The sequence below is a fragment of the Homo sapiens genome, chromosome 1, assembly GCF_000001405.40.
Source record: "Homo sapiens chromosome 1, GRCh38.p14 Primary Assembly".
Lineage (NCBI taxonomy): Eukaryota > Metazoa > Chordata > Mammalia > Primates > Hominidae > Homo > Homo sapiens.
In genome coordinates this window covers 39998607-40011900 of record NC_000001.11, presented here as the reverse complement: position 1 = coordinate 40011900, position 13294 = coordinate 39998607, and the positions used below count along the sequence as shown (strand labels likewise).

General features: G+C 44.2%; 1 annotated feature.

Moving 5' to 3' along the window:
- Positions 6206-6265: a silencer, noted in NCBI's record as "silent region_718". NCBI's record gives its function as "represses an Ori minimal core promoter by ATAC-STARR-seq in GM12878 lymphoblastoid cells {active_cell/tissue: GM12878}" and the evidence as "EXISTENCE:reporter gene assay evidence [ECO:0000049][PMID:35858748]".

Here is a 13294-nt window from a genome sequence, read left to right as displayed (position 1 = left end):
AGGTTGCAATGAACCAAGATCGTGACACTGCATTCCAGCCTGGGCGACAGAGCAAGACTCCATCTCAAAAAAAAAAAAAAAAAAAAAAAAAGAACATGTAATGATCAAGGCAAGGTATTGGAGGCATGTATCACTTTGACTTTTATCATTTATCATTTCTATGTGTTGATAACATTTCAAGTCCTCTCTTCTAACTACTTTGAGATACACTATACAGTGTTGCTAACTACAGTCACCCTACTCTGCTATTAAATATTGGGACTTATTTGTTCTATCTAACTGTGTGTTTGTACCCACTAATCAATATCTCTTTATTCCCCCTTCCCACCCACATACTCCTCCCAGCCTCTAGTATCTATCATTCTATTCTCTATCTCTATGAGACCAATTTTTTAGCTCCCACATATGAGCGAGAGCATGTGGCATCTATCTTTCCATGCCTGGTCTCTTTCATTTAACATAATAACCTCCAGTTCCACCCATGTTCCTGCAAATGACACAATTTTATTCTTTTTTATGGCCGTATAGTATTCCATTTTGTATATATGCCATTTTTTTTATCCGTTAGTCCATTGATGGACACCTAGGTTGATTCTGTATCTTGGCTATTGTGAGTAGTCCTGCAATAAGTATGCAAGTGCAGGTATCCCTTTGATATACTGATTTCTTTTCCTTTGGATAAATACCCAGTAGTGTGATTGCTGGATTATATGGTAGTTATATTTTTAGCTTTTTGAGAAATTTCCATACTGTTTTCATTAACTGTGGTACTAATTTACATTCCCACCAACGGTGTATAAGAGATCCCTTTTCTCTTTATTTTGGCCAGCATCTGTTGCTTTTATCTTTTTATAGTAGTCATTATGGGTCAGACGAGGTGGATAATGTCTATAATCCCAGCATATTTGGAGGCTGAGGTGAGAGAATCACCTGAGCCCAGGATTTTGAGACCAGCCTGGGTGACACAGTGCCACTCCATCTCTTTTCTTGTTGTTGTTTTGAGACAGAGTCTCACTCTGTCATCCAGCCTGGTGTGCAATGGTGTGATCTCAATTTACTGCAACTTCCGTCTCTCAGGTTCAAGCAATTCTCCTGCCTTGGCCTCCCAAGTAGCTGGGATTACAGGTACGTGCCACAACACTCGGCTAATTTTTTGTATTTTCAGTAGAGATGGGGTTTCACCATGTTGGCCAGGCTGGTCTTGAACACCTGACCTCAGGTGATCTGCCCACTTCGGCCTCCCAAAGTGCTGGGATTACAGGAGTGAACCACCACACCCAGCCAAGACTCCATCTCTACAAAAACATTAAAAATTAGCCAGGTGTGGTGACTCATACCTGTAGTCTCAGCTATTTGGGAGGCTAAGGTGGGAGAATCACTTGAGCTAGGGAGGTCAAGGCTGCTGTGAGCCATGATTGTGCCACTGCACTTCAGCCTGGGTGACAGAGCGAGACCCTATCTCAAAAAATAAAATAAAATAAAAAAGCCGGGCACGGTGGCTCACGCCTGTAATCCCAGCATGTTGGGAGGCCGAGGCAGGCGGATCACGAGGTCAGGTGGATCATGAGGTCAGGAGTTCAAGACCAGCATGACCAACATGGTGAAACCCCATCTCTACTAAAAAATACAAAAAATTAGCCAGGTGTGGTGGCACACGCCTGTAATCCCAGCTACTCAGGAGGCTGAGGCAAGACAATTGCCCAGGAGGTGGAGACTGCAGTGAGCCGAGATTGCACCTTTGCACTCCAGCCTGGGAGACAGAGGGAGACTCTGTTTCAAAAAAAACCTTTTTTTTTGTAATTAAAAAAAAAATAATAGCCATTCTCAGGCATGGTGGCTCACATCTGTAATCCCAGTGCTTTGGGAGGTTGAGGCAGGAGGATCGCTTGAGGCCAAAAGTTGAAGAGAAGCTGGGCAACATAGTAAGATCCCATCTCTACAAAAATTTTAAAAATATTGGTTACATAAAGAAGTGGAAATTAATTGATTGGGCATTTGTTGAGGGAAGGATAGACAGATGAATAAAAGATATGGGACAGGAAAGAACTGACTTTTGCTGTATTTTATGTTTTCTTTAACATATAATCCATTAATATCCTGTTATTGAAGCAAGGTAATTATTACACCACCAGCACCACACACACATACATAAACACACGAGCGTTAAAGTCATTAGGGAAATGCAAATTAAAACCACAATGAAATGTCACCCCACACCCACTAGGATGGCTACAATTTAAAAAAAAAAAAACAGACAATAACAAGTGTTGGAGAGATTGTGGAGAAATTGAAACCCCCATACGTTGATGGTAGGGATGTAAAATGGTGCAGCCACTGTGGAAAATAGTTTGGTACTTCCTCAAAAAGTTAAACATAGAATTTCCATAAGGCCCATATGATCCAGTCATTCTTTATTATTATTTTATTATTCTTATTTTTTTGAGACAGAGTTTCCCTCTGTCACCCAGGCTGGAGTGCAGTGGTGCAGTCTTGGCTCACTGCAACCTCTGCCACCCAGAGGTTCAAGCAATTTTCATGCCTCAGCCCCCCACGTAGCCAGGATTTCAGGCAAGCACCACCATGCCCAGCTAATTTTAGTATTTTTAGTAGAGATGGGGTTTTGCCATGTTGGCCAGGCTGGTCTCGAATGCTTGAGCTCAAGTGATCCGCCCACCTCGGCCCCCCAAAGGGTGGGATTACAGACATGAGCCACTGCCCCGGCCGTGACCCAGTCATTTTACTCCCAGGTGTATACTCAAGAAAATTGAAAACAAATGTTCATACAAAAGCTTATATACCATATTTGCAAACTATTCATCCAACAAGGGATTAATATCCAGAATATACGAGGAACTCAAACAACTCAACCATAAAAAATAAATAATCCCATTAAAAAGTGGGCTAAGGATATAAATAGTTATTTCAAAAGAAGACATACAAATGACCAACAGGTATATGAAATAAATGCTCAGCATCACTAAACATCAAGGAAATGCAAATCAAAACCACAATGAGATATCATTGTATCCAAAAAGGAATGATTGTCATCATGATTATGATTATTATTGTTATTCTAAGAGACAGGCTCTTGCTCCATTGCCCAGGCTAGAATACAATGGCATGACCATAGCTCACTGTAGTTCAAGCAATCCTCCCACCTCAGCCGCCGCAGTAGTTAGGACTACAGGCATGCACCACCACACCTGGCCAATATTTTAAAATTTTTTTCTAGAGATGGGATCTTGCTATGTTGCCCAGCTGCTCTCCAACTTTTGGCCTCAAGCAATCCTCCTGCTTCGGACCCCCAAAGCATGGGATTGCAGATGTGAGCCACCATGCCTGAGAATGGCTATTACTTTTTATTTTATTTTATTTTTTGAGATAGGGTCTCGCTCTGTCACCCAGGCTGAAGTGCAGTGGCACAATCATAGCTCAAAGCATGGGATTGCAGATGTGAGCCACCATGCCTGAGAATGGCTATTACTTTTTATTTTATTTTATTTTTTGAGATAGGGTCTCGCTCTGTCACCCAGGCTGAAGTGCAGTGGCACAATCATAGCTCACAGCAGCCTTGACCTCCCTGGCTCAAGTGATTCTCCCACCTTAGCCTCCCAAGTAGCTAGGACTACAGGCATGAGCCACCACACCTGGCTAATTTTTTTTATTATTATTATACTTTAAGTTCTAGGGTACATGTGCACAATGTGCAGGTTTGTTACATATGTATACATGTGCCATGTTGGTGTGCTGCACCCATTAACTCGTCATTTACATTAGGTATATCTCCTAATGCTATCCCTCCCCCCTCACCCCACCCCACGACAGGCCCCAGTGTGTGATGTTCCCCTTCCTGTGTCCAGGTGTTCTCATTGTTCAATTCCCACCTATGAGTGAGAACATGAGGTGTTTGGATTTTTGTCCTTGTGATAGTTTGCTGAGAATGATGGTTTCCAGCTTCATCCATATCCCTACAAAGGACATGAACTCATCCTTTTTATGGCTGCATAGTATTCCATGGTGTATATATGCACACCTGGCTAATTTTTAATGTTTTTGTAGAGATGGAGTCTCAGCCGGGTGAGGTGGCTCAAGCCTGTAATCCCAGTGCTCTGGGAGGCTGAGGCAGGAGGATCACTTGAGGCCAAAAGTTGGAGAGCAGCTGGGCAACATAGCAAGATCCCATCTCTAGAAAAATTTTTAAAATATTGGCCAGGTGTGGTAGTGCATGCCTGTAGTCCTAGCTACTGGGGCGGCTGAGGTGGGAGGATTGCTTGAACTCAGGAGTTAAAGGCTACAGTGAGCTATGGTCATTCCATTGCACTCTAGCCTGGGCAATGGAGCAAGAGCCTGTCTCTTAGAATAACAATAATAATCATAATCATGATGACAATCGTTCCTTTTTGGGTACAATGATATCTCATTGTGGTTTTGATTTGCATTTCCTTGATGTTTAGTGATGCTGAGCATTTATTTCAAATACCTGTTGGTCATTTGTATGTCTTCTTTTGAAATATCTATTTATATCCTTAGCCCACTTTTTAATGGGATTATTTATTTTTTATGGTTGAGTTGTTTGAGTTCCTCGTATATTCTGGATATTAATCCCTTGTTGGATGAATAGTTTGCAAATATGGTATATAAGCTTTTGTATGAACATTTGTTTTCAATTTTCTTGAGTATACACCTGGGAGTAAAATGACTGGGTCACGGCCGGGGCAGTGGCTCATGTCTGTAATCCCACCCTTTGGGGGGCCGAGGTGGGCGGATCACTTGAGCTCAAGCGTTCAAGACCAGCCTGGCCAACATGCAAAACCCCATCTCTACTAAAAATACTAAAATTAGCTGGGCATAGTGGTGCTTGCCTGAAATCCTGGCTACATGGGGGGCTGAGGCATGAGAATTGCTTGAACCTCTGGGTGGCAGAGGTTGCAGTGAGCCGAGATCACATCACTGCGCTCCAGCCTGGGCGACAGAGGGAAATTCTGTCTCAAAAAAATAAGAATAATAAAATAATAATAAAGAATGACTGGGTCGTATGGGCCTTATGGAAATTCTATGTTTAACATTTTGAGGAAGTGCCAACTATTTTCCACAGTGGCTGCACCATTTTACATCCCTACCATCAACGTATGGGGGTTTCAATTTCTCCACAATCTCTCCAACACTTGTTATTGTCTGTTTTTTTTTTTTTAAATTGTAGCCATCCTAGTGGGTGTGGGGTGACATTTCATTGTGGTTTTAATTTGCATTTTCCTAATGACTTTAACGCTCATGTGTTTATGTATGTGTGTGTGGTGCTGGTGGTGTAATAATTACCTTGCTTCAATAACAAGATATTAATGGATTATATGTTAAAGAAAACATAAAATACAGCAAAATTCAGTTCTTTCCTGTCCCATATCTTTTATTCATCTGTCTATCCTTCCCTCGACAAATGCCCAATCAATTAATTTCCACTTCTTTATGTAGCAAGATGGCTAGATTGAACATAACTTCAGAGTCAGTGCTTTTGATGAGTGAATCCAATAATACCCTTCTCTCCACCTCTACATATCTATTTAAATCTGTCTAGCCTGCTTAAGCTGCCATAAGAAAATAATGCAGAATGAACGGCTTAAACAACAGAAAGGTATTGTCCTATAGTTCTAGAGGCTTGAAACCCTGAGATCAAGGTGCCAACCAATTTTGTTCCTGGTAGGGGCTCATTTTCTGGCTTGCAGACAACCACCTTTATGTTCTTACATGGCCATTCCTCGATGCATGAATGAATAGGGGTGGAGGTAGTCCTCTAGTGTCTCTTATAAGGACACTAATCCTATCAGATAGGGCCCCATACTTATGACTTCATTTAACCTTAGTTACTTCCTTAGAGGCCTCATCTCCATATACCGCCACTGTGGGTTACCGTTTCAACATATGAATTTGGGAAGTACACAAACATTCAGTGTATCCACTGATTTTCTACATTCAGTATATCCACTGATTTTCTAGGAACTTCTTGAGAAACAAAGTCTTGATCTCTGTCCACCATCTGATTCAGACACATACAAATTGATCTGATGGGCTGGTACAGCCCTGACTGATTGCAGGGAACTCAACTGTGGGTTTGAGAGAAAATTCAAGAGGAGGAAGCTGCATGAGGCTAGCACAAAAAGCCAAATTCAGCAATAGGGACTGAATGTAACAGGACACTTCACTGCACAGTACCAATAGCACCATTCACACCATAACCTGTGTAAGTTTCACTTCCAGGAGTTTTTTGTAGTGCAAAACCTGTGAGGCCATACCTCAGATAGTGGTCCTGAATACAATGTGTCAGGAATTACTGGTACCCTTTCTAAAACCTTTTCCAATTCAGATACTGTGGAGTTATGCCTGAGGAGAAAATTGCAATATGCATTTGTTGAAAATACTGAATCACTAAATATTATCTCATTTTTGGGTCCTCTTTGCAATGGGACCCTCTTAATTGAGCTAATGCCAAGAGATTAAGTACTAATTAAAATTATTTGGCCACAAGCAACAGAAGCCAACTCTGATTAACTTAAAAAAGAACATAAAGGAATTTATTGAAAGAAAATGTGAAAATTCACAGAGTCAAAAGACAATTTGGAAAAAAAAAAAAGAACCGTGCGAACAGCCAAGTATCAAGATATACAGGAATCAAGGCAGTTCTGGACATGCAGGTAACAGAAACTCATAGGAAATCCCTTCAGGATACTGCCCGAAAATGAATCAGCTTCAAGTTTTCTGTCTTCCTGTCTCCCACTAAAATTTTCTTCCAGAGAAATCACTTCCAGTTGATCTAGCTGGGATTGAGTATCATCCCCTGACTAAGGAAGGGCATTGAACAATGATTGACAGCCCCACCAAACCAGTGTGTAGTGGGGGAGGGGGTGTTCTCCAGAGAAAGAGGTAGAATGCTGATAGAGAAAAACAACAGATGTCCTCTGCATTCCAACCATGGGTTGCCAAGCAACGTCTTCCCACTTTTTAAAATGCCATATACAATTTTTTAAATGCCTCTGCCTAACATAATTATCTCAGATGCAAACAAAAGATACACTCAACTCCTTCTAAAAGGAGACAACCCATGTTCATTTATTTCTTTCCTAGTTCCATCATGACCCCTCTCTATAGTTTACAATTTGTGTACTAAATTACAAATTTAACCATCATCAACCCATACCACACGATTCTAAGAGAAAAGAGAAAGAAAATTACTTTAAAAATATATCTGACTTTCTGCATATTACTATAAGTAAGTTATACCTCAATAAAGGAGAAAAAATATCCATGACACAGCAAGGAAGGAATACTGGTAGAAGCTACAGTCCTCATTCATGGAACTGATCATGGTACTTATGACTTCTCTCATCCCCCACCCAATCACATTGTCTTGCCATTGATTGGCCAGCACATCAGTTGGTTTAGCGCTTTGCCAGGTAGGTTGTGGAACTCAGCCTTCAAGGTAGCACCAAATGACTCTCACCTCTTGATCCATGCCTTTGTGTAGTCCCCTCCCATATTAGGTATATCCTAGAATATTTTAGATTGTTGGAATTATAGCCCTTCCCCAGCATAGCTACATCTTCTGCTCTAAGTTGATCAGTTTCTATCACTTTAGTAAACTATTTATCTGTCTGGTTTCAGCTCTTTCTTCACTCTGGACCCTGGAGATGTTTTTTTTCTTCCAACTTCATTCTACATTTCTTTAAATTTTGGCCAGCATTTCTTTTTCTTTCTTTCTTTCTTTTTTTTTTTTTTTTTTTTTTTTTTGAGGTGGAGTCTCACTCTTGTAGCCCAGGCTGGAGTGCAGTGGCGCCATCTCAGCTCACCACAACCTCCACCTCCCAGGTTCAACCAACTCTCCTGCCTCAGCCTCCCAAGTAGCTGAGATTACAGGCACCTGCCACCACATCCGGCTAATTTTTGTATTTTTAGTAGAGAAGGGGTTTCGCCATATTGGCCAGGCTGGTCTCAAACTCGTGACCTCAGGCGATCCACCCGCCTTGGCCTCCCCAGGTGTTGGGATTACAGACGTGAGCCACTGTGCCCAGTCTGGCCAGCATTTCTAAATATTTATTACAAGAACATCTTCAGATTATATAGTCAGCAGATGTTGAATTGAATGTTCTGTGTGTTTACTTTTCTGTCTCTCCAACTAGACTACGAGCTTCATAGATTGTCTTGCTCATAATTGTGTTCCCATAAACTAGCACTGTGGCTGGTACATAGTAGGCATTCATTACATGTGTGTTGAATGAATGAATGTAACCAGGGAAGGGATGAATGCCATAACCGGACATGAATTGTCTCCTTTTGGAAGGAGTTGAGTGCATTTTTTGCTTGCATATGAGATAGTTACAAAAATAAAGAAATTAATTGATTAATGAAGATATATCAGACTTGCCCATTTAAGATTATCATTCAGAATTGTCTACTGTTGATAATGAAACCTCAAGAGTTGCATTTTACATATTATTGCTTGGCCCACAAATACAGTGGTTATTTGAGTTTTACTTCTTCTTATATGTTATTTTTAAGCCTTGAAAGTCTCCAGAGGAAGTGGAATTTGGTTATGCTGACCTAGTTATAACACTGACTCGACATGGCTTTCTCTATGTCAGGGTAATAGAAATAAAATTTATTTCTGTGAATATATCATTTGCATTGGCATTTATAGAGCTTAGTATTTAATTGATGACTATTTTAGTGATTGACTTGAAAATTTACATTGTTTAGAATAGGTATCCCTTAGACTGTGGAGTCATAGACCTGGTCAATTTCATGATCAAAAAAGAATTCTTGAATTAGACTCAATCAATTTAGTAAACTATTTCACTTTAAAAAAAAAGAATTCTCAATTGTCTTTTTCAAACATGTGTTTACCCTCATCTTCCATTTTTCTTTATTCTTTCTCTTTTTTTTTTTTTTTTTTGAGATGGAGTTTTGCTCTTGTCGCCCAGGCTAGAGTGAAATGGCACAATCTTGGCTCACTGCAACCTCCACCTCCTGGGTTCAAGCGATTCTCCTACCTCAGCCTCCCGAGTAGCTAGGATTACAGCCGTGTGCCACCACACTCAGCTAATTTTTTGTATTTTTAGTAGAGATGGGGTTTTACCATGTTAGCCAGGCTGGTCTCGAACTCCTGACCTCAAGTGATCCTCCCGTCTCGGCCTCCCAAAGGGCTGGGATCACAGGCATGAGCCACTGCGCCCAGCCATCTTCCTTTTTTCTGTAATTTCATCTACTAGGTCAGGCCAAACTCTAGGAAGCAACCTTCAATCCTCTTTTCCTCCCATCTCTCAACCCCCACCCCACCCACCTCACGTTCAATTCTTTAGCAGTCCTGTTGTCTCTCCCTTCAAAAGATATCCAGGATCCAACCACTTATCAGAAGTCCCACCTACCAACGCTAAACCCACATCATCTCCTGCCTACACCACTGCAATACCCCCTTAACTCATTTGCCTGCTTTTACTCTTGTCCCCACTATCAGCTCTCCACACAACAGCTAGGGGAACTTTTCAAAATACAAATCAGATCACATCAGATATATAGTCACAGGTCAATTTAAAAGACAGCTTCCAGCCTGGCCAACATGGCAAAACCTTGTCTCTACTAAAAATATGAAATTTAGTTGGGTGTGATGGCCAGCGCCTGTAATCCCAGCTACTCAGGAGGCTGAGACAGAAGAATTGCTTAAACCCTGGAGGCCGAGGTTGCAGTGAGCCAAAATCAGCCACTGCAATCTAGCCTGGGTGACAGAGCGAGACTCCATCTCAAAAAAAAAAAAAGATAGCTGGAAAACATAGCTTCTGTGTCATCCCTGGCTATACTATAGCAAGCCAGGGGCCATCTCATTAAAAATGGTGTGATATTCCATCCCTAGCAAATTAATTTTTTTTTTTAAAAAAAGGAGGGAGATCTTACTGCCAAGGGAACTTATAAATAACAGAGGTTGGCCTAATCATCTTGGCTCTTTTCCACACTTCATAATACAGTACAAACAACCTCTGAACAATCAGCATAATGCTGAGAAAATAGTCATAATAACCCGGATGTTTTCCGGATAGATTCTTGCTATTTCTACTTGTTTCTCTCATTTCAAAGTTGACCTTTAATGAGCTAGTGAAAGGCTGGTTTCTGTGATGATCCAGGCTTCCTGCTCTGATGTTATGCTACCCATTCAGCAGTAATTAATATGGTGGAATTTGGTCCTTTTCCACATTGCCTTCCAGAAGGACTGATGGCCAGAAATAAAGCAGGCAGAAAGAAGTTTCCCAAATCTCAGGCAGGCTTAGAGGCATATTTACCATGAAGCTAAGGAAGCTTAAAATTTAAGAACCCTTACTTGCAAAACACTTTTCCAAGAACTTGTACCTAATTTTGTATTCATACTTTTGTATTCTTTTTCTTTTCTCTTCTTTTTTGAGAGAAGTCTTGCTCTTGTCCCCCAGGTTTGAGTGCAATGGCTTTATCTTGGCTCACTGCAACCTCTGCCTCCCGAGTTCAAATGATTCTCCTGTCTCTGCCTCCCAAGTAGCTGGGATTAAGGCGCCTGCCAACACGCCTGGCTAATTTTTGTATTTTTTAGTAGAGATGGGGTTTCACCATGTTGGCCAGGCTGGTCTCGAACTCCTGACCTCAGATGATCCACCTGCCTCGGCCTCCCAAAGTGCTGGGATTACAGGCGTGAGCCACCGTGCCCGGTTGTATTCTTTTTCTTAAAGGACTCCACCTGTTTGAAAGCAAGCTTTCAGTTCCTCTTCCTAGGTTTTATGACAATTACCAGGAATAGGAGACATGAAGAACTAGGGGAAGGGAGCAGCAAATGCAAAGCTCCTGTGGCCTTCCATTTGGCTGGTACGAGGTTATCAGGTTGCTTACGGGATGAGAAATCTTCTGTCCTAACCATCTCATGTCATCAGCATCCATATACTTTTTTTTTTTTTGAGACAGAGTCTCACTCTGTTGCCCAGGCTGGAGTGCGGTGGCGCCATTTCAGCTCACCGCAACCTCTGCCTACCAGGTTCAAGCAATTCTCATGCCTCAGCCTCCCAAGTAGCTGGGATTACAGGCATGCACCACCACACCTGGCTAATTTTTGTGTTTTTAGTAGAGACGGGTTTTCACCATGTTGGCCAGACTGGTCTCAAACTCCCAACCTCAGGTGTTCTGCCCACCTCAGCCTCCCAAAGTGCTGGGATTACAAGCGTGAGCCACTGCACCCGGCCTCAGCATTCATACTCTTTTTTTTTTTTTTTTTTTAATTTATTTTTTTATTGATAATTCTTGGGTGTTTCTCACAGAGGGGGATTTGGCAGGGTCATGGGACAATAGTGGAGGGAAGGTCAGCAGATAAACAAGTGAACCTTTGTTTTCCTAGGCAGAGGACCCTGCGGCCTTCCGCAGTGTTTGTGTCCCTGATTACTTGAGATTAGGGATTGGTGATGACTCTTAACGAGCATGCTGCCTTCAAGCATCTGTTTAACAAAGCACATCTTGCACCGCCCTTAATCCATTTAACCCTGAGTGGACACAGCACATGTTTCAGAGAGCACAGGGTTGGGGTAAGGTCACAGATCAACAGGATCCCAAGGCAGAAGAATTTTTCTTAGTGCAGAACAAAATGAAAAGTCTCCCATGTCTACTTCTTTCTACACAGACACGGCAACCATCCGATTTCTCCATCTTTTCCCCACCTTTCCCGCCTTTCTATTCCACAAAGCCGCCATTGTCATCCTGGCCCGTTCTCAATGAGCTGTTGGGCACACCTCCCAGACGGGGTGGTGGCCGGGCTGAGGGGCTCCTCACTTCCCAGTAGGGGCGGCCGGGCAGAGGCGCCCCTCACCTCCCGGACGGGGCGGCTGGCCGGGCGGGGGGCTGACCCCCCCACCTCCCTCCCGGACGGCACGGCTGGCCGGGTGGGGGGGCTGACCCCCCACCTCCCTCCCGGATGGGGCGGCTGCCGGGCGGAGACGCTCCTCACTTCCCAGATGGGGTGGCTGCCGGGCGGAGAGGCTCCTCACTTCTCAGACGGGGCAGCTGCCGGGCGGAGGGGCTCCTCACTTCTCAGACGGGGTGGTTGCCAGGCAGAGGGTCTCCTCACTTCTCAGACGGGGCGGCCGGGCAGAGACGCTCCTCACCTCCCAGACGGGGTCTCGGCCGGGCAGAGGCGCTCCTCACATCCCAGATGGGGCGGCGGGGCAGAGGCGCTCCCCACATCTCAGACGATGGGCGGCCGGGCAGAGACGCTCCTCACTTCCTAGATGTGATGGCGGCTGGGAAGAGGCGCTCCTCACTTCCTAGATGGGATGGCGGCCGGGCGCAGACGCTCCTCACTTTCCAGACTGGGCAGCCAGGCAGAGGGGCTCCTCACATCCCAGACGATGGGCGGCCAGGCAGAGACACTCCTCACTTCCCAGACGGGGTGGCGGCCGGGCAGAGGCTGCAATCTCGGCACCCTGGGAGGCCAAGGCAGGCGGCTGGGAGGTGGAGGTTGTAGCGAGCGGAGATCACAACACTGCACTCCAGCCTGGGCACCATTGAGCACTGAGTGAACGAGACTCCGTCTGCAATCCCGGCACCTCGGGAGGCCAAGGCTGGCGGATCACTCTCGGTTAGGGGCTGGAGACCGGCCCGGCCAACACAGCGAAACCCCGTCTCCACCAAGACCAGTCAGGCGTGGCGGCGCGTGCCTGCAATCGCAGGCACTCGGCAGGCTGAGGCAGGAGAATCAGGCAGGGAGGTTGCAGTGAGCCGAGATGGCAGCAGTACAGTCCAGCTTCGGCTCCGCATGAGAGGGAGACCGTGGAAAGGGGAGGGGGAGGGGGAGGGGGAGAGGGAGAGGGAGAGGGAGAGGGAGAGGGAGAGGATTCATACTCTTAACACAGCAAACACTGCTCTGAGTCCTTCCTAAGAATTCTGACAGATTGCTGGCTGCATGGATATCAGTGAAACCCCATTGGGAAAGATGTTCCTAAATATCTTGATGGTGAAACTGCATATTCACTTGATCATCCCTTCTTCACAGAACAACACGGACACCAGTTTGCAATAGATAGTTCCACTTGGTCTTGTCTCTCTGCCACTGAAGATATGGGCTGTGAACCACTGAAATCTGGGCATGACGCATTTCAACTTCTTGGAACGCAGCTTATTAAACTGAACTTGGCTTATTGAACTTAACTAGAAGTGGCTGGGCACAGTGTCATGCCTATAATCCCAGCACTTTGAGAGGCCAAGGTGGGCAGATCACTTGAGGTCAGGAGTTTGAGACAAGACTGGC